The sequence below is a fragment of the Homo sapiens genome, chromosome 1 (assembly GCF_000001405.40).
Source record: "Homo sapiens chromosome 1, GRCh38.p14 Primary Assembly".
NCBI classification, from domain to species: Eukaryota; Metazoa; Chordata; class Mammalia; order Primates; family Hominidae; genus Homo; species Homo sapiens.
The window spans coordinates 77,027,698-77,055,053 of record NC_000001.11 but is presented as its reverse complement, the minus strand read 5'-3'; the positions used below and the strand labels follow the sequence as shown (position 1 = coordinate 77,055,053).

Here is a 27,356-nt window from a genome sequence, read left to right as displayed (position 1 = left end):
GATGGAGAGAGCAGTCCAGGAGGCCATCACAGTACCAAATGAAAGATGCTGCATGCCATTCAAATGACTTTGAGTCAGTTAGATTCTGCCAGATCTTGAATGAGATATGTCTGTCATCTGCCACCATGGCCATTTATATGCCCACCACTTCCACTTGGGGTTTTAAATGTGAATGCAATGCTATCTTTCTTCCTAAGAAGTCCATGGGCTTAATACTTTTAGGGGGTACAATTAGTTTTCTTGCCAATGACTGACTCCTAGAAGTAACTCAGGCCCTTTGGGTGAGATGAGAAGGCAGACCTCCAGGACACCTGATGGGAAATGACTCTCCAGGTTACCTACACTTCCCCTTGGGGATCAGGCACTCACGGATTGCTTGGCAGTTTGCTCCCCCAAGATATAATTTAGCCCTTCTCTCTCTGCCCCACTGCCTCTGCTCCCTCACACCATGCCTATGACAGCTTACATTCTCTTTGGGACAATAATAAGGTGATGATTCTACTCTCCTGAAAAGTGTGAAAGAGTTTGATTTAGATTGGAAAGCATCATGGTTGTGTCTTAGACCAGAGGTTGTTAAAGTTCTTATTTGTCAAATGCTCTTTTGTTGAAAAGAAATCTTATACAATAGTCCAGATGCAAACAGAGCCAACTGGGTCTGCCCCTGACCAAGTCGGGTGGAAGGGTCCAATATTCCTGTTGTCCTGGCTCCTTATCCCTATGCCACCTGATAGAATCAGTGGAATGCAAGGACTTCTCTGAGTCCAGTTTGAAAGTTGGAGACAGATGGTCCAATAAAGCTCAGTGGGTCAGATGCTGCTGACAGGCAGAGAGTGAACATCTTCTCCCACAGGCACCTCGAGTAACCTTCTGTACCTCATGATTTAATTGTGGTCAACTGAGTCTCAGGCAACTGAAGGCAGAGACCCTGTCTCATTCATCTCTGATTACCTCCCTGGTACCCAACACGAGTTAGCTGAATGAATAAAAGGCTTGTGGTTTATTTAGTTAGTGACTTTTTTGAGGGTACTAATTTTGTCTTATGGTCTGAAATGGTTAATTTGCCCAAACTGAAGAGTTGGCTCTCTTTTTGCCTGCTGAAATCTGGCTCCACGTGGCTAGCTCTTCATTGCAGTGAGACACTGGGAACTTAGGGAAGCTGTAGAAAGGCCAGGCACACTTTGAGCAGCCCATGAGATGTCCTGCAAGGAGCTGGAGGCCACATAATGCCAGTTCTGTAAAATGCGCCAATGAGCATCCACAACTGCAGATCAGTGAATCCTTTCACCCCATAACTTTCTGTGTACTGAACAGGCCCTGAGACTTTGCTAAGCATTCCTCATCTATGACTTCATGCAATTATCGTATAAACTCTCAATGCAAGAGAGTTTATATGATAATTGTCATCACCATTTTGTGGGTAAGGCTTCTGAGATGGAGCATTAGGTAGCTTGCCCAATATCAGTCACTAAGGCTCAGTGAGGTCAGGTAACTTTCTCAAAGTCAGAGTTTCTGAGAGGCAGAAATGGCTATTTTTATCCATATACAACACCCTTTACTATAGCACTACGGAGAGTAGAGGACACAGCCATTCATTCCCTTGATATTTATGAAGTATCTGCCATATGCCAGGAGAGTAAATATCTACTGTCCTGTGTTCTAGGTCTACAACACTGAAGTAAACACACAGAACTCTGCCCTCAGGGAGGCTATATTCCAATGGGCCCAGCCAATGTGAGCTCTGCCACCACACAAAACCATCCACAACCATTTTTGGCCCTGGCGATAGCTTACCTCCTTAAGCCATAGAGCTCATGATACATGTACCATGTTTTCAGCCCCAAATAGTTCTCTGCTTCTTTCAAAATAAAGATAAAAGAGGGAATGGTCAAATGAGTAGCAGACTAGCCTACCAGTTGCTTTTTCATTCTCTGGTGGTGAGGAAGGTACTGTTTACAGACTCATTTAACTCTTAGATGAAGATTGCAAAAGCTGCATCTTTTTATAGTCACATGGTAAGTGGCTTTGCTGTGTTCTTTATATTTTGGCATGGGTAAGGCTTATTATAAGCCTCCAGGAGGCAAGAAGCTGTGTCTTTGAAGCCCCCCTTAAAATTGTTTTTTTTTTTTTTTTTTTTTTGAGACAGAGCCTCACTTTGTCGCCCCGGCTGGAGGGCAGTGGAATGATCTCGGCTCACTGCATCCTCCGCCTCCCAGGTTCAAGCGATTCTCATGCTCAGCCACCCGAGTAGCTGGGATTACAGGTGCACACTATCATGCCTGGCTAATTTTTGTATTTTTTGTAGAGACAGGGTTTCGTCATGTTGGCCAGGCTGGTCTTGAACTCCTGAGCTCAAGCAATTTGCTTGCCTCAGCCTCCCAAAGTGCTGGGATTATAGTTGTGAACCAGCCCCCTGCTCAGAATTCTTGGTATCTTTCAGGGAAACTCTCAAGTGCTTGGGATAATATTAATAATATAAATTATTTTACATATCTTATTAATATTAATGATATTGATACTCTTTCCTGAATACTGTGTGCTAGGAACTGCATCCAACACTCTACATCTATTATCTCATTTAATTCTCACCATGACCTGCTTGTTCGTCTTCTTATTTTCTTATCCCCATTTTACAAACAAGGAAAACAAGCCTCAAGACCCAACAAGTCGAAACTGGATGCCTGGTGGTCCAGTCAACATGTCCTGGAAATGCAGATGAATAGAACTGTAGAATCCATCTGTGCTACTCCTGGTCTTCCTTCTTAACCTTCCTTTAACAGGCTTTATGACTGAGCAGAATGCTCTCTCCAGCACTGAACCTTTCCTCCAGATGACACTCTTCACTTCTCTGACAGAACTTGGGCGTAGGGGTCCTTTTGAAGAGTTCTTGCTGAAACTGTCTTGTGCAAACAACTATCAAAGCTTTGGGGATGATAGCTTAGGAAGAGAAACTCAGAGCCAGTGGCAATATGTAATGCATTGACATTATCTTAATTTCTTTGTTAGTATTTTCCATAAATTGTTTCGATCCTACCGTACATGAAGTCATGATGAACTAACTCTGAGTAGGAGAAATGACAGGTTAACTTGCCTTTCATTTGTTTTCCATAATAAATGGAATATTTCCTTGAACACTTGAAGTCATTAACATTTCAATTTATTCATGCTTTTTCTTTCTGGCATCCTAATGGCAATATTGCATAATTATATCTGCTGTATACCCATCAACGTTGATGGCTCTTTGCATGCCCATAAGTGCCATTCTCACTGTCTCTGTTAGCCTGTTGGTTTGAGGAGGCAGTTTGCCTTTTTAGGCCATTCTACTTACTTTTTGTGTATAGATTGTTAAACAGGGACACAGGGCCAGTGAATTAAGTGAGGCAGCACTGGGTGAGGATCCAAGCTAACTTGCCTTGTGCTTGCCATGTACTTACTAGGCACTGTTCCAAGCATTTCACATGTATTAGCTTATTTACTCTGCCTACAGCCCTTTGAGGCAGAGTCTATTACTATCACATCCACGTCTATGGATGAGGAAGCTGAGACCTAGAGACACTAAGTGACTTCTTCAAGGTCATACTAGGTGGGTAAGTGACCAGGCCAGGCTTTACACCTGTGCAGCCTAGCCCCAGCATTTTTGACCCTGACCTTACATCAAAGGTCTGCTCTATCTGTACCTCTCTCTCCTCCTTTGCGGCCTGACTCTTCCATATCAATTAGTATTGTTGCTGTGTTGGATCTTTGGGTTAAAAAGAGAGAAAAGTGGTAAAATGTTAATGGGATGATTAGATGCTGTTTCTCATCTTTGCTTTAAACCTCCAAATTGCAGCTTTTGCCTAAAGACTCATGGCCTTCGAGACATTGTTAGAAAAAATAAACAAATAAAACACCAGATAGTATAAGTAAGCACACAATTTAAAAAGCAAGTTTTAAATGCCCCCCACCCCAGCTTTTGCCATTTGAAAATCAGGATTGAGTCCATGTGCAGGCCATCAGGCGTTCCCAAAAACTAGGGTACTTTCTGGAATTTCTGGTCTCACTATTTTAAATTACAGGCGAGTTTTCAAGCAGGCTTCCAAAAATCAGGCCCTGAATATTGCTGAGTGCATTTGTGGTATGCCCTGAACTCTGCCTGGGCACATGCCAGGAGGAAAGTTAAGGTGGCAACAGAGATGTATGCATGTTCTCTTTAAAGTGACACCTCAAAATATTTATGCCTGTGCTTTTGGCCTTAGAAGTGCAAGCCCAGGCCACTGATGTGGCAAGGGAAGGAGGCTCAGAGAAATATTTTAATTTTAGAAAAAAGCCCTCACTGTCAAAGGAATTGCTCTCTTTAATTCATTAAAAAATTATCACATTCCTTTGAAATGAGAGTAAAACTAATATTTCTTAATGCTTGTTCATCGTTAATATTATGCCAATTATTGCATTACTTCTGGCTGATAAATATTCAGAGGATAAATGGAGCCCACAAGATGGATTTATTCTCCAGCAGTACAAACAAAAACTTTCAATATTTTATATAACATAATTAAATGCTGTTTGTTGTTTCTAGAATGAGAACTTGGGACATGCTAATTAATTGCTTCAAGAAGACAGTTAGACATGTTTCATGGTTGATATTCAGAATCAGATATTTATAAATCCTGCACAACACGGCTGATGATTTACACTTGCAGAATAAATCCTACCTGCAGAAGTCTGGGGGCACCATGCCATAAACATTGATCCTGTCACAGAGCTCCAGTGCAATTGTCATTGTAAACCAGCCAGTGCTGAGCCAAGTGTTGGATATCTTCCTGGAAGGAACAATAATTAAGTCTGCAAGCTGGTAAAGTAACCATTATACCCACTACCATCTTTAATTCTTTCCTAGAGTAAGGCTAACTATAAACAAGAGTCTCTCCCTCTCTCCTCCATTTGGTAAATATCTGGAACTTTATCAAATTGACATCTCTTACTAACATTACCATATTCCACAGTACAATCATAATTGATGTTAATGCTCATGCTGAATTTGTGACAATGAAAGATGCTCAAGGGACTTCTGCATCATCAAAGATGATGATCAGTGTTTAAATGTTTAAGTGTATGTTACCACAACTCAATTTCTTATGACAGCCCCCGTTTAACAACTCTTTCTTAACGAGAACACTTGAGTAACTAGAAATTCTCCTTGTTCCCCAAACAGGCTAGATAATGAGTAGCTTATTAAATATAAATAAACATTCACATGTATTTATCTATCTATTAGTCAATTGGTTGATTGACTGAACTTAGGGTGAAAGCTTGCCTTCAAGTAGACTAACACCAACATCTTGATTGAATATCTTTCCGTAAGAAGGGTACACTCATTTGGGTATGGGCTAATGACCAGAGGAAAAGAGCCACAGGAATGCTTATATTTAACTGAACATTTGCTTCATTTTACATATCAGAAAATTTTTACTAGGAGACCAAAAATTGACAAAATTTAAGGAATGAACTGGTGCACCCCACCATTCATTAATTTTCCCATTCAGACATCTGTAATGAGCTTCTACCATATGCTACACCTTAGGATAACTGTGGAGACATAACACCAAGGTCTAATTTGATCCTGTGAGAATGACTCAGCCTACCATGCTACACTACTGTGGATATTAATTTCAATTCTTCGGGGGTTGCTGCTTTTACTTTTCCTTCAGTACTTACGGCATGCCTCATTAGCCAGTTTCAAACACCTTATCCCCAAGGTCAGACTGTCTGACTTTGCCCAGCCATAGCATCATTTGTGATGTGAATAACAGAGGTGCAGGAAGGCTTTTCTACTTGCACTGTGTGGCACCCATCCTTGAGAAGAAGGAAAACCTTCTGTCTATCAGTTTGCATCATTATTTTCATTTCATATAAGGACCAAAAAAGAAAAAAAAATAGAGAGAGGACATTTTTAAGGAGTCCTTCATTTTGTCCAATACCTGACAGCATGGGTGGCTTAGTTATTCCTGGGGATCATGGCTTCAACTTTCTATTTCTTAAGCCCTTTGCTCATTCATTCCCCTATTCCATTGTATTTTGACCTAGTAACATCCCAGAAAGCATATTTAAAAGCTCCTAAAGATGGGAATAAGTGGGCTGAATCTTACCTGTTTCTATCATAACCAGCTGGATGACCTGAGGCAAGTTATTGTTGATCTTTGGCCCTTCATTTCTTATCTATAAAGGAGGCATAGGAATCTCTGTCCCCTGGGCTACTTGAGAGCTAAATAAGCAAGCATGTATGAAAAGCACCAAGTTTGGTATGTTGGTACGTTGACATCTCTTCCTCCTCTTTTAGTTTCTAGGTTGAGCAATCAAGGTAAATAATTTCACCATTCTTTTTGGTGCTTTTTAGCAACCATGAAGAAAATTCTTCCAACATTCTGCTACTGGGGGCTGTGTAGGGACTGCCATCAGTAGTCAGGGCAGGAATTATGAAATTCAGAAGCCTTCAGCCTACATAGGTATTAATGATTTTCCTTCTTTCTCACTAAGGCTATATATTCATAAGACCTTTGAGACTGAAGGAGCTGGAATGGAGAAGAGCTGACTGAATGGCAAAGGGTAAGAAGAGGAAGTGGCTTCCCTTAAGTTAGAAGCTGTTTTCACCTATGGGCTGCGACAATGCACTGGCCATGTGTTCTAGACCTAATCTGGGTGAGTGAATAACTGGGAGGATGTGGAACCCAGGAAGAGGATGACAGCTCACTTACAGCTTCAGGAGCCTAATCTGGGAATCACACTTATATTCCCTCTGCTTTTAGAGCTATTGGACACACCAAAGGGGGCTTTCTCCAAGGGCAGAAACTCTCCCATAACTCTGGTTCTGTTTTATGTGATGTAGTAGAGATTGTAAACCACAGCCTGAATACAGGAGGATGTGGCTGCACAGGAAAAGGCTTTGTGGGTAAAATGGGGAAAAGAATGCAAGGTAGAGGACGAAAGAAACTAAAGTGAAGAGTTCTTTAAAGTAACACTTAAAATTCCCCAGACTTCCTAAATAACAGCCTTCTGGGGTCACGTGCTATAGAAATGCAACACTTTGTGCTGTCTTTCTAAAACTCTTTGTTGAACTCTTTTTCTAACAAAGGAATATCTACTGTTTTTACACTTAATCAGCTGTAATGAAAGAATATGAAGAGCTGTCATGTGCTTTTTAGGGAAAATTATCAGATATTCTTTTATATGATGAAGTAACACACTGAGCTGATAATTCTATAGTGCATACTAAATTACAATTAAGGGCCTTTCTGCTCCACCAGAATCTCATTTATAATCTCTATGGAAATATTCTTCCTGCAGTTATTTCATTTACGCTTCCTTTATCTAATTACTATAATATTGGTTCTGAATCATATTTTCCTAATGTACCCTTATTCAATTATAAAGTTATTTTCAAGTACAGTTACTTTTTAATATCAAAGAATACCACTTGGCCATCTAAGTCATTTGTCATGCTTCTTAATTGCAGATTGTTCCTGAGCCACTTTTTTCTCCACTTTTAAGGAGGGTGAAACTTCTATCAATCACAATCTATTAAATGACCCTATTTCTTCAAAATATTCACCCAAAAGGAAAGTCCTGATCATGAGATCTGCAAGTTAGATATTCTGTACTTTATGTATCATATGCTACTGTTTTGTTGGGTTTGAAGAAAAGCATACATTGAGAAATACCATTACACCCTAAATGTTTTAGGTTTTAATTTACAGAAATAGTTTTGTCCTGAATGGCCATTTCTGACTTGTTTCTTTTAGCTTGGAGCAGGCTACAGGTAAAGAATATTAAGTCAATAGAGTATTGGCTTCTTTAAGACTGTTTCCCGAAGGCAAGAGGCACAAAGTTTCTGGAAGCAGCAGTGTACTCTGGCATCCTCCACATTCATAAGTGTGATTCCCCTGAGTAGGGACTACGTGGACCCTGGCAGATGGATGTCTGTGGAAAGAGTCCCACCAGCCACTCCACAAAGCTTTGGCTCCCTCCGTACCAGCCAGGACGACCAGGAAGAAAGACCTGGTGAGAAAAAGCTTCTCATTGGCCAGTATTTAGTGAATTTAGTGAGCAGGATATGCCTTGCTGTGAGAAGGGTTCCTAAAGATCCTGAGTGGCCAAAGGGTATGATGACTTAGTATCTAACTTATCAGCTTAAAATGATTTCTCAAGGAGTCCAGAACAATGTTTAATTATACTAAATAGCTAACATTGCGGCAGTGTTTTAGGAATACTTATTTAGCAATCAACCATTAAACTAAAAAAGAGAAAAGTGTTTTCTATTGAGATGGTTTCTACTTATTTCAAATTTTCCAACAAGTAAAAAATGAAACTAAATAATTCCCCTCCTTCTTGATTCCTTATAAAATGTTTTCTTGATTAAATAACTCATTCAACTGAGTGACAGTCTCTCTTATCTGTGAGTTGCAAAGGTCAATGCATGACTGGATTTTGTGGCAGCTGGAGATGATGATCAGAATCCCCAATGTGATCTGCTGGCTGGGCTGCCCATGGGGTCTGCTGGGCCTTCCAGTGAGGAAGGCCACAGTGCCAACAGCCAGCTCTTTCTCCTTCCTCCACCAGACCCATGCCTCCTGCCTGGTGCAGTCCTTGACTAGTCACAAGGTTTCTAGGATTTAAAAGCTATCTAGCTCTTCCACACAAAGAATTTGGGGGCACTGTACTTAAGTCTTTCTTTGAGACTATTCTCTAATAATGAGCTGCTAGCCAAAGAATGGATTTATTACTTTATATTCTTTATTGCATTTATCATATCACTTTATTTAAAACAATTTTTATGAGATGGGGTCTTGCTATGTTGCTCACACTGGATTTGAACTCCTGGGCTCAAGCCATCCTCTTGCCTCAGCCTTTCAAGTAGCTGGGATTATAGGCATGCACCACTAAGTCTGACTCTCCTTTAGTTTAAAGATAAGCAATTGACTCAGTAACAGTTTTTGTAAGAGGGGTAAATTACATCACAAACGTATGAAAGTACAGGTTTTAGAATTAAGGAAATGAGGCAATTTGATTATTAGACCAGTCCATCCAGCGATTAGTAGTCACTATTCCCTTTTCACACGTAAGGTCACTGAGTCTCTAAAAGGTTAGATAACTTGTCCAGGCCCTCACAACTAGAGAGTGACAGAGCCAGAGTTCCAACCCAGAGCTGTACTCTCTAGTGGCCCTTGATTCTTCATTGTCCTTTCTTCACCTAGATTTGTCCAGCTGACATCTTTTCACCTCTCTTCTTCACCTTGTGTCACCCCCACCCCCTAGTTCTCCTGACTGCAGCCACAGGGGGCTTTTCTCCAACCCACTGCATGTTCTCTCACACCTGATTCCCTGGACCTCCAGGGAGGTTTCTCCCTCCCACTCCCCAGGTCCTTTACTTTATCCAAGACTTATTGCCCTGGGTCTCAGCTTATGTACATCTTTTTGAGAAAGCATTTTCCTTATCTCCCAGACCAGTAATTTCCAAATCTTTCAACCTATAGTGAAAAATACATTTTTACATCATGATTGAGACACACAGACACAGTTTTAATTTCATTTTCTAAAGTGTGTAATTCAGTGATATTTATTTTACATTCACAGGATTGTGCAACCATCACCACTAATTTCAGAACATTTTCATCACTTTGAGAAGAAATCCCTATCCATCTATCTCCATCTCTATCAAACTGAAATAAAAGTTTCATGAAACAATACCTTACCTAACTTACTATGTGGGATGAATGCTGATAATGTCTTTTCTATTCTACTCTGTTCCATTTTATCCCATTCTTCCCATTACTTTAGAAAAAAAATCTTTCAGTGCCTCACTACATTGATTTCGTGTCTTAATATGGAGTTGTAGCTAACAGTTTGGGTTTCCATGGGCTAGGGCCCATGGCACATCTACAGCACCATTTTCTTCCCTCTCAAGACCCTCAGTGCACTGGCTACTACTTGGTAAGTGTCCAAGGCTTTATATACTTGTGTTTGACTGTTTCCCCAGGGCCAAGCACAGTGATGAGCAAGTAGTGGGCACTCAAGAAATATTGGTTGACTAAATAAATGTTTGCCTTTGAATGGGAAAAAATAAACCCATATACTTTTTTTTTGGTGAGGGTTTATGCAAGTAAAATGAAATGCAATAAAGCTGTTATACTGCACTTTTAACCAATGAAGGCCAGGAGCTGTGTAGCCTCTTCCTCAAAAATAAGGCCCTGAAATATCCATATAATTATCTCCATGCTTCTTTTCACTTTGTCTTGTAAAGTCAGCTTGAGCAGCCCAGTCACGCAGAGGACCCTACAAGTGAACTCTAGCAATGACATGAGCAGTGGAGCCCACAACAAAAGCCTGTAGCAAAAGCTTTGCTTTGGGTGAGTCAGCCAGTGATGACTTATCCTCACCCTCCCCTGCATCTTCTTCCCTGTGCCTTTGTACCTGTCTTTGCCAGTCTCCTGCTTGAAGAGCTCATCAAACTGCAGCATCTTGTGGCGAGTAATCATGAAGGCCTTCAGCCGGGGCAGCACCTGGCTCAGGAGATGCAGGTTGTTGTAGACCTGGCCCTTGCCGTCCCGCCGCATGTAGCTGCTGGGGCCCCAGAAGATGAACACGGTGCCCTGGCTCACGTTGAGCAGGTCATGGCGGTTGCGGAGGATCCTCTGGATGCTGGAATGCGCGATGACCCTCAGGCTGGTGCGATTGCCCACGTCACGCCCATAGCCGCGTGTGGGGGCGTCATTCATGCGGATGACACACTCTGTCTGGTCAATCTGGGAGCCTTGCCGACTGTGCAGCAGATGCCCTGAGCTGGTCACCAGGGCACAGTCCCTGCAGTGCATTTTCAGGGGCTGGAAGGCAGGGGGAGAAGGACACTGTCAGGGGCAAAGGGCTTAACCCTCACTCAGCACCAGCAGGCTACTTCCCTGCCTTTGAAGAAGGGCACCCATCTCTTCTCTCCTCCCCATCATGTCAGAGTATATCCCTTCTGCTATTACTTTATGGACCCTTGCGTTCTCTTCTAAATGGGTGACAGGGAACAATGGACAAGAGCAAAAGGGAGCTAGCACTGACCTGTCAAACACTGAACTAAGGGCTTTACTGATATTAAATAACCAAATCGACACATCAACCCAGCAAGGTTTCTCTCGTGGTCATTTTACAGATGAAGATACTTAAGCATAGAGATGTTAACAAATTTGTCCAAAGTTGCCCTTTATTCCTAGCCAGTAATAAAGTTGTGCTTCCGGCTTTCAAAACTAGGTATTTTTGAGTCCAAAGTTACTCCCAAGTTGAAGCAAAGACTATCCTGCAAATTGCTGTGACACTAGTTGTGATGCTCTTAACTCACCTTATTGAAAGTTAAACCTTGATTAAAATTCTTGGATGCTGTACAAATATGTTTGTACCAAATACACATCATCTAAGCATCATATGGGAAATGACATGCTGATTGTAACCCCTTAGAGGCCATAATTTTGAAGTGACATTAGGATTGCTTCTTCTATTTTAACGGATGAGGGAGAGAAACTGAGTTGTCCCATTTTCATAAACATAAAGAAAGCGTCAAGCTCAGAGCCACAGACCCCAGCTAGGAATTGCAGGGCCTAGGTCCTTCTCTCATCTGCAGTGAACACGCATCATGGCAAAGTTCTGGCCAGGACATGGTGTTCACCAAAGACAACTCCAATGGCAGCACTCAGTTCAATGCCCTGAACCAATGATTTGCTTTCAAAACACCTACGTCCTAACAAATTAAACATTCCCGTGTTCATGTTTAATGAGCAATATTTCTAGTTGCTGTTTGAAGATAATGTAATTACGGCCCGAGGCCAAGGCCAGCAAATGTACAAGAAAATAACAAGATGTTCTGAAGGGATGTTGCATTGTTAGATTTTTTCCAGAGTCTATGCGCTTCTTCTCTGTTAACTTTGAACAGGACACGCTGGCTTCCTGTACTGTCTCAGGAAATTGAATCCAACTTAGTAGTGCATATATTCAGTTTTGTGTTTATTTTGGGAGTTTCCTGAGACATGGCTGTGTCTTCAGAACTACACTGAGAGCACCCGAGGGCAGCCAACTTCCCTTGCCTTGTGGTGCCTCAAAGCATCAGCTCTGGGATGTAGCAGGATGGGCCCAGCCTTGCTTCCACCACCTACTAGCTGTGGGACCTTGGTAAGACACTAACCTCCACAAGTCTCAGTTTTCTCATCTCTAACTGAGGTTAAAACCTCATTCTACTATGGTAGAATAAAAAAAAATTAAGATAGATACCGTATTCGATTGAGCCCTTTGAAACTGCCAATATTTGGCCTGCAAAAATAGCAACTGCATACGGTTGAACCTTTAGCATAGGATTGTCATAGTGATCATTCACTAAATGTTAGGTGCTATTAGGATTATTGGTCAGTGCGGAGCCTTTTGCTCTTGTCCAGGGTTCCTATCACCCATTTAGAAGAGAATGCAGGGGTCCATAAAGTAATTGTACAATAAGTACTCACGATATCAGCAGTGAACACTTAGGGTTTATAATTGATGCAGGGCTTATGAAATGGAGGTTCTACCATTGCAAATTCTCATAATTCCCCCAACATCTAATTACTCTTACATGACAGGCACTGTGCTAGGCAGTCAGAATGCAAAAATGGGGCAAATAGCCTTGAAAGCTTACACTTTAGTGAGGGACAGTGGTCAGTAAAGGAGGACAATACAGTGTGATACAGTATAAGGAGAGGAGGCTCTGCTGAAGTCGGAGTAAGGGGCTGTGGAGAGCACAGCAAAGCTGGGGGCACAAAGGAAAACTGGCCAGTCAGTTAATATTTACTGAGTGCTTTTCAGCCACAACTGTGTTAGGCACTGTTCTGATTTTTTATAAATATAATTCCATTAATCCTTCAAATAATACTCTAAGATAGTATATTATCACTCCCATTTTACAAATGAGAATATTGAAGGGTAGAAAAATGAAGCAGTTTGCTCAAGATCACACTGTAAGGCGGTGGCAGTGTTGAAATTTGAACCCAAGAAACCTGACTGCAGAGACAAAGGGATTCACCATGATGCCAACACAGTGCAGTAGAATAAGCAGAATCAGTGTTATGGGATGTTTTCTTACCTCATTGCCTCTTTCCTGCCTCTTAGAAATTCAGTGATGCTATTTTTTAATCAGTAGTGTTGTTACCACTCTGAGGGCACTGGGCTCAGTGGATGCAGTAAAGTGACAAGAATCTTCTACCAAAGACCTCCATTCCTTGGAGGATCATTTGAAATAGATTCATCTAACTAGAACATTAAGTACATGATGCTGAAATGTGGTTGAGACCAAACCTTCTTTAGGAAGTGCCACATTCCAGATGTCCAGAAAGTGGCCCCTATTCCCCTCAGAAAACTACTGAAATCTGGAGTAAGGAGTCCTGAATCCCTGGGCGAACTGTTGGGATGAGAGGCAATTTCAGTGGCCAAAAAATGGAGGAAATGCTTAACTTTCCTTTCCCTTATTTTACTTGCACATCCCATACATAAATGATGAAGAGGGAAGAGTTCCATGATAATTTATTCAATGGTGAAATTCCTATTACGTACCAGGCACTGAACCTGGTGCTACAGATATTATGTTAGCGCAAAACTAATTGCCATTAAAAGTAATGGCCAAAACCACAATTACTTTTGCGCCAACCTTAATAACACAATAAAAGAGCATACAGTCCACATTGAGGGTGCCCCCAGACAAACCATGACAGAACTGTGCTGTAAGTGCTATAATGCAATTAGGCACAAGGGACCATGGGACCAAAGATGAGGGAACATTTAAGCCTATCCAGAAGAGCCAGAGAGGTGAGAGAACAACCAGGAAAGGATTATGTAATGGAAACCAGCAGAAGAGACAATTTTAAAAAGGAGCAAGTAGTCAACAGTGTCATAGGACAAGTAAAACAAGACTTGGGAAATGTGCTTTGGATTTGATGACTTCGGCCAAAATAGTCTCAGCTGAACAGAAGTGACAAGAGTGTGATCGTGGTCGGATTGAGGAAGTAGAGACCACAGCTGACTGCAAAGAGTTGACAGAGGGTTGATGGTGGAGCATGGCAGGACTGACTTTGACACTAAATACTTGTGGCCAGACAACATTGATTTGTTCATTCATTCTAAAGACCTTCACTGAGGACTTAATACACCCCTGAGGTTCTGTGTAACTCAGCACATTTGCTTAATAAGGTTACTTTGTAAGTTCATCCCAGTGGACCCTAAGGCCATGGGAAGCTGCTTTTTCTCATCACGCTCACCTAGAATTATCCTGAATTTTCCGGTTGGATCTGTAATTTTACTGTAGTCATTATTACTAGGGAAAACATTCTGAAGAAAGGTCCCAGTAGCATCTCTTTCCCCTTAATTAATTATTCTGCTTTGATTCTCAGAACAGAGACTGGTTGGCAGGTGAAACACATCGCCTTAGGGGCCTTCCAAGGACCTGGCGCTCTCTCTTTTCTCTTTGCCCAGAGCAGGCCAGCTGAACACTCTTTCCGAGAAGGCCAAGTTTCCTGACCTTGCCATACTGACCCTCTGTGATTAGTGGGCACCACTAGAACATGCCAGGTTGACCCAGTCCCCAAAAGCCACCCTCTTGATTTCTGCTACCTGAGAAATCTGAGCTCTGGTATTGATTATGTCAGACACTAACACTCGTTCTTTGAGTTGTGCAGATGCATCAAACAATGCAAAAAAGATCGAAGTCTGAAGTATGCCTTAGGTGCTTTTGGTAAGGCGTGCCAATAAAATGACAATAGCTGTTCTAAACATAATGTTACAATTCCAGCAGCTGAGAAGAGCATGTACTAAAGGCTGACCCACTTCCAAAGGACAAAATGAAGTCTGTTTCTTGTATTCAGGGGGACTGATGATATCTTAGGAGGCAGAATGGCAAAAAATTGTACAAATTGTGCGACCCTGTTCCTCATGATTTGGTACAGTCCTCTGAGAGAAGCATGCTCCCACACTCTCAGTACCATTATAACCTTTAGTGTCTTAATGATATGGGTGGAAATATTCATGCCTTGGTGAGTCAAGATTCCTGATGCAATATTTACATGTTCTTCCCTTAAGCATTCAGATGCTGGGTTGATGAATCACTAAGTGGAACACAGGGAGGTGAACTTGAATCTCTGCCCGTCGGCCTGGGAGATGATGTACTGCCGAAGACACAAGAGGGGAGGTGGCTCCAGCGGGCTCTCCGCTGAGCAAGGCCTTCTCTCTGACTTTTTCCTCATAGTGTTCAGCCTCCCCGATTCTTTGGAACATTTTCCGTAAAGCCTCATTTGGTGAGACACTCTGTTCCTTCTTAGGAAACATAGGCATCTATCTTAGTTCACTCCTAGATTAGTAGTCTCTCTTCCATCCTGACTCATAAGAAAAATCATTTAATTAATACTGAATAGATGGATGAATAAATGAGTGAATGAAACCCAACCCCCTGCCTTATCTATCCTCTGAGAAACCTACCTGCTGCCACATACAAAGTAGACATAATGTGATGCCATAACCAATTATTTGGCTGTAAACCCCAGGCCTTGCTAAAGATGCCACAAAGAGAAAGGGTGGTAGGCTGTGGAAACCTCTGTCTGCAGAGGAGGCTGTGGCCATTTGCCACTGGGCAGCCTCTCAGCCCAGGGAACCATAATGACCAGAGTCCAGGGCACTGCCTGGAATTAATGGCTGGCTGGGAAAATGGCCCGGGACACAGTAAGGACCATTAAGCCCAGCCAGTTATTAATCCCCAGTAAGAGCTTGATGCCAAGGTCATTAGAGCTGTTGTGAGGTGAAAAATGCCCAGGAAAATGCACAGCACATGGAAGAGTGACTGTTCTCCAGGCTGCTGATGCTCAGAGCTACAGCCCAGGCCCCCAGAAGCCAGCATGCTGTACAGGAGCCAGTGGGAGGCAGGTGGGTGGGGTCTCTAGAGGGAGTGTGCAGATACACACACACATGTGAATGCACACTCAGATCTTACCATTTTATTTTTGCTGTCTCTTTTGTGCTTTGGTAATTTTAAGTATTTGCCATCATCCCAGAATCTAAGATACTATCTGCAATTTAGAGGAGGACTCATGAATATTTTAGAATGTGTGAATGAGTTTCTCCTTCCATCACCCCTGCCCACCCCCAGCAACAACAACAAAAACCAGCACCATCACCAACAAAACCCCCAAACATACCTAAAATAATGGAATAGCGAAGCATGACAACTTTCATCACAACTAACTCCTTTGGGCTGTGGTGACAGGAGCAATCCCTTCTTGGGAAGCGTGCTCAGGGAATCAAGGTCTGATTTCTGTCACAGCCTGAAGAGCAAGAGCAGAAGGAATTCTCCCTGTGACCTGGCTGACTGCTCTGGAGCCTTCCTTAAGAGAATAGGCCAGGCCAACTGAAATTAAACTTGACACCTAAAACACTCAGCGATGTCCTTGTAAACATTTGCAGCATGGCAATATCAGGCTTCCGTTTTTAAAATTCTGATATATTTGGCAGAGGGAAAAGTACCTCAGAGCATAATGTCCATTAGCTCAGTAATGAGACCGGTCTTGCTCTGGGAGCTGCCTGTTAGTCTGGAGCAAACATAAGACATATTAAATGGCTTCAGGTGTTTCAAGAATCTCTGTACTTTCCAATCTGATGTTTTCCTGTAATTACTGTGCTTTTTATTAGCTGTCAATCTCAGTTCAGGCTGACACTGGGTATAAGCCATGCTGATTATTTAATGTGATTCACTAGAAAAGTGTTACTCTTCCAAGCTGTTCCTTTCTTTTTTGTTCTATGACAAGCCCACCCACCAGCCTTCACTGCCAAGAAGTCTTTCTGTCTCCACCCAGTGAATGCCACCTCATCTGATTTCCATCTACTGGCTGGCCAAGGATGCAAGAAATCCGTGGGCAGAAGGCAGTACTGAGCAGTTTAGAAGATAGTTTTTTGAGTCACTGACTTTGACTCTGCTTCTTCTACTCATTAGAAAGGTAATTTGAAGCAAAGTTGCTTAGCTTTTCTGAGCCCCATTTTTCATCTATGACACGAAGATAGTAAAGCCAAACTCAAAGGGAAGCTTTGCCATCTCAAGTAATGGTGCACCTTCTACCCAGGTGCTCAAGCCCAAATTCAAGGATCTTTCTTGATACCTCTTTTTCTCTGCCCTTTACAACTCAGACAATCCTGTTGGGTCTATCCTACTACATATGCCCCAGATCCTACCACTTCTCACCATCCCTGCTGCCACCATCTTCATCTAAGCCCCCATTGTCTTGTAGTTCCTGCAGCACTCTTAGCTCTTAAGTTCACTTCTTTTATTCTATCTTTTATATTTCTGTTCCTATGTAGATCCTAGGGTCCCCTTTAATATGTAAATCAAATTATGTCACTCACCTGCTTAGATCTTACTATTTGCTTCTTATTGCTTTTGGAATAAGAAGCCAAACTTTATTTTATATTTATTTTTATATTTACTTTTATAATTTTAACTTTTATTTTAGATGCAGGGGTACACATGCAGATTTGTTACATGGGTATAATGTGTGATACTGAGTTTTGAGGCATGAATGATCCCATCACAAATGTAGTGAGGATAGTACTCAATAGTTTTTTCAACTCTTGCCCCATCACTCCTTCCCCACTCTAGTAGTCTCCAGTGTCTATTTTGCCATCTGTATGTCCATGAACACCCAATGCTTAGTTCCCACTTATAAGTAAGAACATGTGGCATCTGGTTTTCTGTTCTTGCACTAATTCACTTTGGATAATGGCCTCCAGCTGTATCCATATTGTTGTTGCAAAGGACATGATTTCATTTTTCATGGCTGTATACTATTCCATGAAAAGCCAAACTTTAAACTGAGCTCTGTGTCATGGCTCTCAAGATCTGCAGCTTCTATCCTTGTGTATCCTTTCAGCATCATCCTGTACAGAACTCTCCCTTGCTTACACTGTCATTTCTCTACTGCTTGCTGTCTGATATACTTTATGTTAGCAATTCCTCCCACCCAAGCCACTCTTCTCCTCATGTCTGCATGATGACTTTTCCACGTGTTACCTCAGACCGCCTCCCCAGGGAGGCTTTCCTTGACCACTCAATCTAAACTGTTCCCTTTCCCACCTACTGTAACTACCTCTCATCATCCAGGTTTTTGTTTAAATTCATGTATCACTACCTAAAATAATCTTAAGATAATATTTGTACATCTACACGTTTAAGCTCCCCGAAAGGAGGGACTTTGTGTTATTCACACAGTATCTTCAGCACCAAGGACAGTGCCCAGCACATAGAAGGTGTTCAACAAATATACTTTGCAAAGAATAAGTGAATGATAAGCCATGTAAAGCACTTAACCACAGTGTCTGGCACATAAGGAGTGTGAAATAGATGTGTTTATTGTGTTTTAAGTGTCCCCATTCTTCCAGTAAGCAGTTCCTGATCTTTTCTGACTGGGTAACTAGGATAATATTTTCTAAAGCCCAGTATTTGGAATCTGCATATGTCATAACCACCTTCAGCACTAAATGACCTTCAGAGGGAGGTGCAGGAAATCCCATTAGTTTTTTTATTTAATTCCATTCTATTTGTAAAATTATTTTTAACAGCTTTATTGAGATTAATTTGCAAACCATAAAATCCCTCAATTTAAAACATGAATTAAAAATAATTTTTTTGTATATTTAGAGAGTTGGGCAACCATCAGCATGACCTAATTTTAGAACATTTCCATCATCCTGAAAAGAAATCTCATGTCCATTTATAGTCACTGTCCCTTCCATGTCCAGCCCTAGGCAACCACTAATCTACTTTTTATCTCTAAAGATTGGCCTTTTCTGGACATTTCGCATAAATGGAACAATAAAATATATAGTCTTTTGTGTCTTGTTTCTTTCATTTAGCATAGTAATTTTGAGGTTCATCAAAATTCAGCGTCATCTTGTACATATACACATATGTATCTAGCATGTGTCAGTACTTTGATTATTTTTGTCCATACCACATTTTGTTTATTCAGTCATCATTCGATGTACATTGGATTTGTCTCCATTTTTTGGTTATTGTGAATAATGGTATTATAAACATTCACATACAAATTTTTATGTGGACATATGTTTTCATTTTTTTTCTTGAATGGAAGTCTAGCAGGGGAATTACTGGGTCATATGACAATTTTGTTTAACATTTTGAAAAACTGCTAAACTACTTTCCAAAGTGGCTACACCATTTTATATTCCCACCCACTAGTTCCAATTTCTCTACATCCTTGTCATCACTTAGTACTGTCTCTTTTGATTATTCTAATGGGTGAAAAGAAGTACCTCACTGTGCTTTTGATTTGCATTTTCCAAGTGACTAATGATGAACATCTTTTCATGGGCTTATTTATGCCATTATTCTCAGGCTTTCAATTGCATCTACTATGCCCCACCCTCCACCCTAAATAAGTGCCACCAAAGCTAAGTGATTCTATTGGGCTCCAAGCCAACATTCAGCTGACTTCTCTGGGAGCCTTGTATGTGGAGGCCCCACTAGCCACAGGAGATGAAGTGAATTTTCTAGTCTTAGCTAGCAAAATTTGGGTACCTCTCTATACTTAAGGGTGTTGTTTAAATGGCCCCTCTCTCTTTCTATTCTCTGTACAACACCCTTAAGTCTAGAGAGGTAAACCCAAAGTGAAAAACAGAGTGAGCAGTAGCTGGGACATATTTTTATATGGGATCCAAATTTTGCTAGCTAAGGTTAGAAAATTCACTTCATCTAGTCATTTACATTAAAATGAGCTTCATAGACTTATGGAATAATATTGTTGCAGAAATCTCAGAGATGATCTAGGCCAGCAATTCTCACAGTGTGGTTCCCAGGCCAGCAGCAACAACAAAGTCTAGGAACTTGCCAGAAATGTGAATATTCAGGCACTGCCCTAGACCTTCTGAATCAGATGCTCCATGATGGGGCCCAGCAATCTGTGTTTTCCCAAGCCCTCCAGTGCTTCTGATTCATCCTCAAGGTTAAGAACCACTGGGCTGGGCCAGCATCCTCATTTTACAGAAGAAGTGGAACCTCAGGGGGCTATGGGATTTGTTCAAAACCATACACGAAAGGTAGCATCTGGGATGAACCCCAAGTCTCCTCACTTCTAAAAATCCAAGAAAATCCACCTGTATCCATAGACTGTTCAAAGTCACTGGGTACTCACCGAAAAGGAATCCTTAAATAATAGTACACTTAAGTTGCAACCTAGAAGTGTAAGTGGTTTTAAGGAAACAGACAAATAAGAAGGAACATCCCTTGTTTGACATGCTGCCCTCACTCTGCAGGCTGCCTTCCTCTGCACCACCTGCCTGCTTATTTGGAATAAGCAACTGGGAATCGCTATACAGCATTTCAACCCCCAATTACAGGAAAGATGCTGAATGCCTTTGTGCATGGCTGGCGGTTTTGCTTACCCCAGAAGCTGGGCCATGGGGGGCTACTTTCAAGCCAGGACATCCCCTTAGAGGTGGGACAGTCAGGACTCACCTTGCTGTTGTGGGTTTTCTGCTTCCCTCAAAAGCTATGTTGAAGCCCTACTCTCTGGTACCTGTGAATATGATCTTATCTAGAAACAGAGGTTTTGCAGATGTAATTGAGATGTAAGTCAGGGTGAGGTCATACTGGATGAGGGTAGGCTCTCAATCCAGTCACCGGTGAAGTTATAAGAAGAGACACAAAACACAGAGATACACAGGGAGAGCACCACGTGATGACAGAGGCAGAGATTGGGGTGATGCATCTAGTAGGTGAGGAACACGGAGGATTCGCTGGCAACCACCAGAAGCTGGAAGATGCAAGGAAGTATCATTCCCTAGAGCTTGCAGGGGGAACAAGCGCTGTGCCAACACCTTGATTTCATACTTTTAACCTCCAGAACTGTGAGAGAGTAAATTTCTGTGGTTTTTACACAGCCGATTTGTGATAATTTATTCTGGTAGCCCTAAGAAACTAATACTTTGCCACCAACAAGGTCGCTACCCTCTGCCTAACACCCTCCCACCAGTGCCTCGACTTTGCAGTTCTCCTCCTTTGTCTTGCAGCTTTCACCTTTCAGGTCATTCTCTGCGCAGCTGCCAGAGTGGGGTTTCAAAGCATAGCTCACACCACTCCCTTCCCCTGCTTATAGAGTAAAACTGAGTTAATTACCTGGTTGGAATCTTGTCTGCCTCATGGCCCTCACTCATTTCACTCCCCACCCTACTCTCTATTCTCCGGCCTGGCTGATTTCCCTCTCCTTTCTGTTCCTGGGAAACAGTAAGCATTCCTTCTCTGGTCTCCAGCCTTTGCTTTCCCAGTTGTTCATAAGCTTGGCTCCTCATCGCTCAGGTCTCAGCTTAAATGTCACCTCCTCCAGGAGGCCCTTCCTGACTGCCTCCCCCACTTATTCTATAACAACGATGTTACCCCACATAACACGACTAAGTGTTCAACTAATGTGCCAGGACCTCTTCCGAGCCCAATACATACGTTATCTAACCTAGTCCTGAAGACAGCCCCAAGAGGCAAGTTCCACCATTCTCTCCTTTTTAACTAGATGAGGAAGTTGAGGTACAGTTCACCACCTCTCATGATCCAATTTGTTTCCTTCATGGTAATTATCAAAATCTTTAATGATTTAAACTTTTTAAAAATTTCTGTATTGTCTGTTCCCTGCCACTAAAACAGGAGTGCCATGAGGCAGCGATTCTGCACAGTGCATGGCATACAGTAGGTGTTCAAGAAATAGTTAAAGAAATCTCTGTGCCTCAGTGCCTCACTTTCTCAGCAAGCAGTAGATGATTTTTCTCTGTCCAAAGGGGGCATGGATGAGTTGTCAGTGGGACAGGCCTATTTGTTTCTTTTCTGAAATGCTAGTACATTGGTTGATGTTACGCACTGGCTCACCTCAGTGCCTTCAAATAACTCCCTGATGTGATTTCCTTCAAAGGTCACTCGTATGCAATTACTTCCTCTAGGAAGAGATTGGACATAAAGGCCCCCTGCGCTCATTAGAACAAACAAAAACCTGCATTTTCATTAGAGTGAGGTGATATTTAATGTGGCCCGACAAGCCCGATTCCACAAAACTGGCTTCTCTGGCCTCTGCTGTTTGAAATGGCCTGAAGATAAACATAGCATGGCTCGAAATCTGGAAGATAACTGAGAATTAATGGTCAAATGCAAAAGAATTATGAGAACTTGGAGTCGTATATATAGCTGAATTACATTGGGGGAAAAATCTGAGGTTTCAGTCAACCAAATGAGAAAAATATTGAATTGACCAGAATCATAAATACAGTGTTAGAGTGGAGAGAGCACTGGCTTGGGAGTCAGGCTGGGGCTCAGATCTCAGTTCAGTCATCTATTGGTAGGTACTTCCCTACTCTCAGTCTCAGTTTTCTCATCTATAGAATGACTATGGTAGACACTCAGTAAGGAGCAGCTATTAGTATTATTATGGCTCAATTGTTACAGATATAAAGAGAGCCATGTAGAATAACCTGTCAGTGCCTCTCCCCTCATATCCAGCCACTCACTGACCCTGCTGACCCAACCTCCTGTATGTCTGTTGACGTTAATCATTTCTATCTTCCTGCAGGTTGCTTCCCCTGACTCCACCCCTGGTTCAACTCACTATCTTTTTCACCCAGTCACTGCCATGCCTCTAAGCCAGTCCTCCTACATCCACCTCAATCCATTCTCCATACCAGCCAGAGTGGCTTTCTAAAATGCACTTTTAATTAGGAACTCCTTGGCAAGTCCCTCTGTATCTCATGCCTCTCATGGTTCCTCTCTACTCCAGCCACACTGCCTTTGCTCGACCTTGTAGCTCCAAGTGGCACTATTCATAAAGTCTGGTCTCAGGTCTTTGCACGTGCTTCCCCTGGAACCCAAGTCTCCTCAATTGTAAACCGGAGCAATAATACTGACCTCGCAGAGTTATTTTGTGACTTAACTGAGATAATAATAATATTTAAGCTTACCCTCTCTGCCTTTCGCTGTCTATGATTTTTGGAACTCCTTCATCTCCCATTCAAAGCATCACTTTCTCAAGGATCCTTCCCTAAACTCCAAGACTACTGAAGCACCCTGTTTCTCCCTTTATAATTCTCATCATATTGACAATCACTGATTCAATGTCTCTCTTTCCTACAAAGTTGCAAGGTTCTGAAGAACTAGGTTCATGTTTGTGTTGGGTTTAAGTCACCACAATATCCCCAGGACCTAATACACAGTAGGTACTCACTATATATTTGCTGTACAAATAACTAAATTAGTTAGTGCATGTGTGAGAACCATTCCAGAGTGATAGTCTCTCCCAGGTTTTCTGTTTGGGTTTCCATTCTATTTTTACATGCTTGAGTATAGAGCAAGAGACAAAACTATCCCAAATCAAATATTTAATTTGGAGCAAATACTCATTTTTCTCATAAACAACTGAATAGCTCAAACTAAACCAATTACACTTAACCTGACTTCTATTTGTTTTATTATCTAAGTATAAGGGAGGTTCCAGAATGAGTCATCATTTGAGGTTCTGGACACTGACGACTGCAAAGTAGCAAATAACCAGATTGTGGCAGTGTTGATGCTCTGGTTCTCAAGCTGATGGTTTGTTTACTGAACTGCCTGTGTTAGGGGCTCTGAGAGTGGAAGAACGGTCATCAGCTGCCTGGATAACAACTCAGCACCCCAGCTGGAAACACATGAGTAAACAAAATCATAATTTTTCACTTTGCCAAGCTCAGTAAACACCATCTTGATGAGCTACCAGCTAGGCAGCCATTAGCTAAATAAATAAAGCATGAGGGTAGAAACAGGATTATTGACAAAGGCACCGTCTACTCATTTGCTAATCATTGATGGACATTAGCTGTGATGTACCCACTGGGGAGGGACTTTGCCACCTGCTTTAATCTTGCTAAACATGATGCATCCTCTGGGGCCACAGAATGGTTTACTCTGTAGCAGTGAAAAATCACATTTTCTTCTTTTTCCCTTTTATGTGCACAATGCAAGTTATTAAGCACCTACTGTTTATGTAATGGAAACTCTTAGGCAGACTGCCCAGACACAACTGCCTTCACTCCGCTGACTCTGCCCAGATTTGGCAAGGAATTGTAAAATACAAGAAGCAGATTCCTGGCAAGAAGAGATGGAGGCCCCCTGCTCCTTCAAGAAGGCTGGGAGTGAATGGTGGCAGATAGGATTGATAGCTTAAAAGAGTTTCAAGGTTTAGAAAACTTCTTCTTTTCTTAGAAACAGGGAATATTTTTATCCAGTCTTCTTTTCTTGATATTCCTCTTATGGCTTCATCCATTTATATTAGACCTTTCTTGAGATTCTGCTTAAGCACATTAGTAGATCTATAACCTCTTGGAGACTTTCAGGAGCCTGACTCATGGCTTCAGCTGTCCACTCCATAGAGATGTCTCGAGTATTCTAGCTATTCCTCTGTTCATGTCTGGATTCCAACTCCCTGGAGTCCTATGGACTCTTTCTATTTCTATTGACGACGACAATAAAAACCAGGTCCAACTGCCAAAATAACAGTCATAATGACGATCAATTTTTACAGATGAATTTTTATACTATTACTAGCATCTCAGTTAACCCCAATGTAAGCCTGTGAGATCCATATTACCACCTTAGTTTATATTGAGGAAACAGGGGCTCAGGGGTTAAATTGCTCAAGGTCATAGTTTCTGCAGCACAGCTAGTGTCAGTGCTGAGGCCAAAGCCACTCCCACATGTGTGCCTGCTCTTTCCACCATAATATGCAAAACAAAATCAGTGAAAGGACTGGAAAGAAAAGAGGATTGGGGAGTCTTAAAGAAGAAAAAAGAAAACCTACATGAATGGGTTAGTAAATAATAAAAATGGCAGGAGAAATCAGAAAGCAGAGAAACATAGAAATGGGAGGTATTGAGAATACACAGTGACTGTAAAAATTCTAAGGGACCCAAGAGGTTAATGAAGAGACTTAATGGAACAGCCTAGAATTCAGGAGGCATTCAGCCCAGGAACTAACATTTCCACACCACTCAAAAGCTGCTGGTATACAACACACTGCATTCCCATAAATGACATTCATAATGGTGATCCTAAGTCATCAAGAAAAGCTTAAATTAAGTTTTGTTCACTTAGGTAGGAAAGTATAAAATCAATTTGGAACCTTCAACAATAATTTAGACAAATAAGATTTGGTGCTAAATGGGACTGTGCTTATGTTGTTTTAAGCCTCATTTGCTCGTAAAACTCATTTCTCAACCAGGCTTCAAAATGAGGTGTCAGACTACTTTGAAAAGTTACTGCTGAAGGGTAAATGTGTTTTTCTTTCCTCACTCAGGTATGATGGTGATGACTAACTTTCCACCAAAATTCATGCTTTCCTTCCACAGTATGGAGTCACAGATGGAAGTGGCTGCCCAGTCAGGGACTTCGTTTCTAGTCCCCATGCCTCTAGGGAGAGCCCTGTGCCTCCTAATGGAACAGGAGCAGAGGTCATTGGAAAACTTCAGAAGCAACTGTCTTCTCCACTCTCTTTCCCTTTCTGACACCTTGATACACATGGCATAGTAACATTGGAAGCCACACATTGAACGTGACAGAGCCAAAGAACAGAAGGAGACCAAGTCCCTAAACCATGGTTTGGATGAGACATAGTAGAACCTCCCACTTTTTTGACCATGTGAACAAGACAAAAGCTGTCATTTTTGAGCTATTACACATCTTTGGGGATCCCTTTGTGACAGCAGGCAATGTAACTATACTCGTTGTTTCAGAAGCCAGGAAACTTTCTCTTTTTTCCACTTATTGTACTAAGTGGCTAGAGTGCAGGAGTCATGTGTTCTTTCTAAAATACAGTTCTGATCATGTCACTCCAACGTAATGATCTTCTGTAACCCCCTCATCCCTAAAGAGGGAAGTCTATATTTCTAAAAGTGACCCTTTATAGCTTATTTTCCACTGATCCATTTCAAGAACTCTACACATGCCCACACTGGACCACCACCCACGTATCCAAATGTAACCTGTCCTTGCCTTTCCTGTTAGAATAGCCTTCATCTGAAATGCACTCCCAGCTGTCCCAGCTGCAGTTTTTGACAGCCAACCCAACATTCCAGGTCCTATGTAAAAGCTACTTATTCAGCAGAGTTGTCTTTAATAATGATTGCTTGGGTTCAAATCCCATCACTTACCAACTGTTGACTTTGGGAAAATTTCTCAACTTCCCTGTGTCTTAGTTCCCTCACCTATAAAATAATGGTAATGCTAGACCCGAGCTCATAAAGCTGTGAGGGTTCAATAAGCTAATCTGTAGAGGAGCTTCCACCTCCTCCACTGCTATCAGCAAACCCCACTACTCACTGCAGTTATTTCTTCACCAAACTCAGCCATTTGTGTGTCACTTCATTGGGAGACAGAATAACTTTCTTTTTCTTTGTGTCCCACACTGTCCCACAAAGTGTTTTAAATATAAAAGACACTCAATAAATGTTGGTTGAATGAATAAAAATATGAATTTCTGAAGCTGCAGAAAGTGGGTTTCGGCTTTCCATTCGTTCATGTGTCACTTGAAGGACTATGATGTTTCCTTCCAGCTTGATTTCTAATAAGAGTACAGTGAGGTCTTTTGATGTCCTGAAGTTTTGAAGAGGCTCTGATCATTTTTCCAACCTCCAGTGAGATTTTCCATCCTTTGATTGTGGGAACCTGATTTGCTAGGAAGTTTTGTTTCGGTTTTTCAGGTGCAAGACTTAGTGAATTTCTCTGGCCAGGTTAAGCAGCAGTGGTCACATTCTTCTTTTGTGCTTGTTTCTGGACATGCCTTAGGTTTCAGTGATACCCAGGGCTTGTCTTAAGAGGCCAAAGAAGGGTTAAAGAATTTGAGGCTGCAAGGACTAAATATCCTTTAGAGCTGACAGTGTGGGAGGCACAGGGCAGAGGCCACTGGAGAAAGGCATTGTTAAATACAGAGCCTTGACAGACTGCAGTCCCCACTGCCCTGGCCCAGCTCATTTTTAGTTGCACTCGGGGCTGATGTGATGTTTATCTCAAAAATAAGACTTACTCAGGAGGGATACCAGAACTGCAAATCAGTGTTTTGTCAAACACAAGAGGACATGTCTCTCTAAAGCACTATTGAAGTGTAAAAATACTGAAACAATAAAACTCCCCCACTCATTAAATGATATCTGGTATTAAATAATTCCAATTCCTAATGAGATTTTCCACTTGGACGGCACATCAGAACATCACCACCAAACACGTCTAAAGCTGAACTCAACTTCAGTCTCCCCAGATCTGCCACTCTGTCTTCCATGCA

General features: G+C 41.8%; 1 protein-coding gene across 3 annotated transcripts in view, besides 1 other annotated feature; it reads right to left on the bottom strand.

Moving 5' to 3' along the window:
- Positions 1 to 27,356, bottom strand: part of ST6GALNAC5 (ST6 N-acetylgalactosaminide alpha-2,6-sialyltransferase 5) — a 200,067-nt gene that overhangs the window by 12,493 nt on the left and 160,218 nt on the right. Inside the window, exons 3-4 of one of the 3 annotated variants that reach the window (NM_030965.3) lie at positions 10,441 to 10,850; positions 4,689 to 4,796 (exon numbers count right to left, since the gene is read on the bottom strand). The exons of 1 other annotated variant lie outside the window; for it this stretch is intronic. In NM_030965.3, coding sequence (NP_112227.1) covers positions 4,689 to 4,796; positions 10,441 to 10,850 — 518 coding nt within the window. The remainder of the gene's footprint in view (positions 1 to 4,688; positions 4,797 to 10,440; positions 10,851 to 27,356) is intronic. One more of the 3 variants, NM_001320273.2, reaches the window with a different exon arrangement.
- Positions 18,193 to 18,393: a silencer, noted in NCBI's record as "peak297 fragment used in MPRA reporter construct". NCBI's record gives its function as "represses an SCP1 promoter by STARR-seq MPRAs in K562 erythroleukemia cells {active_cell/tissue: K562}" and the evidence as "EXISTENCE:reporter gene assay evidence [ECO:0000049][PMID:32103011]".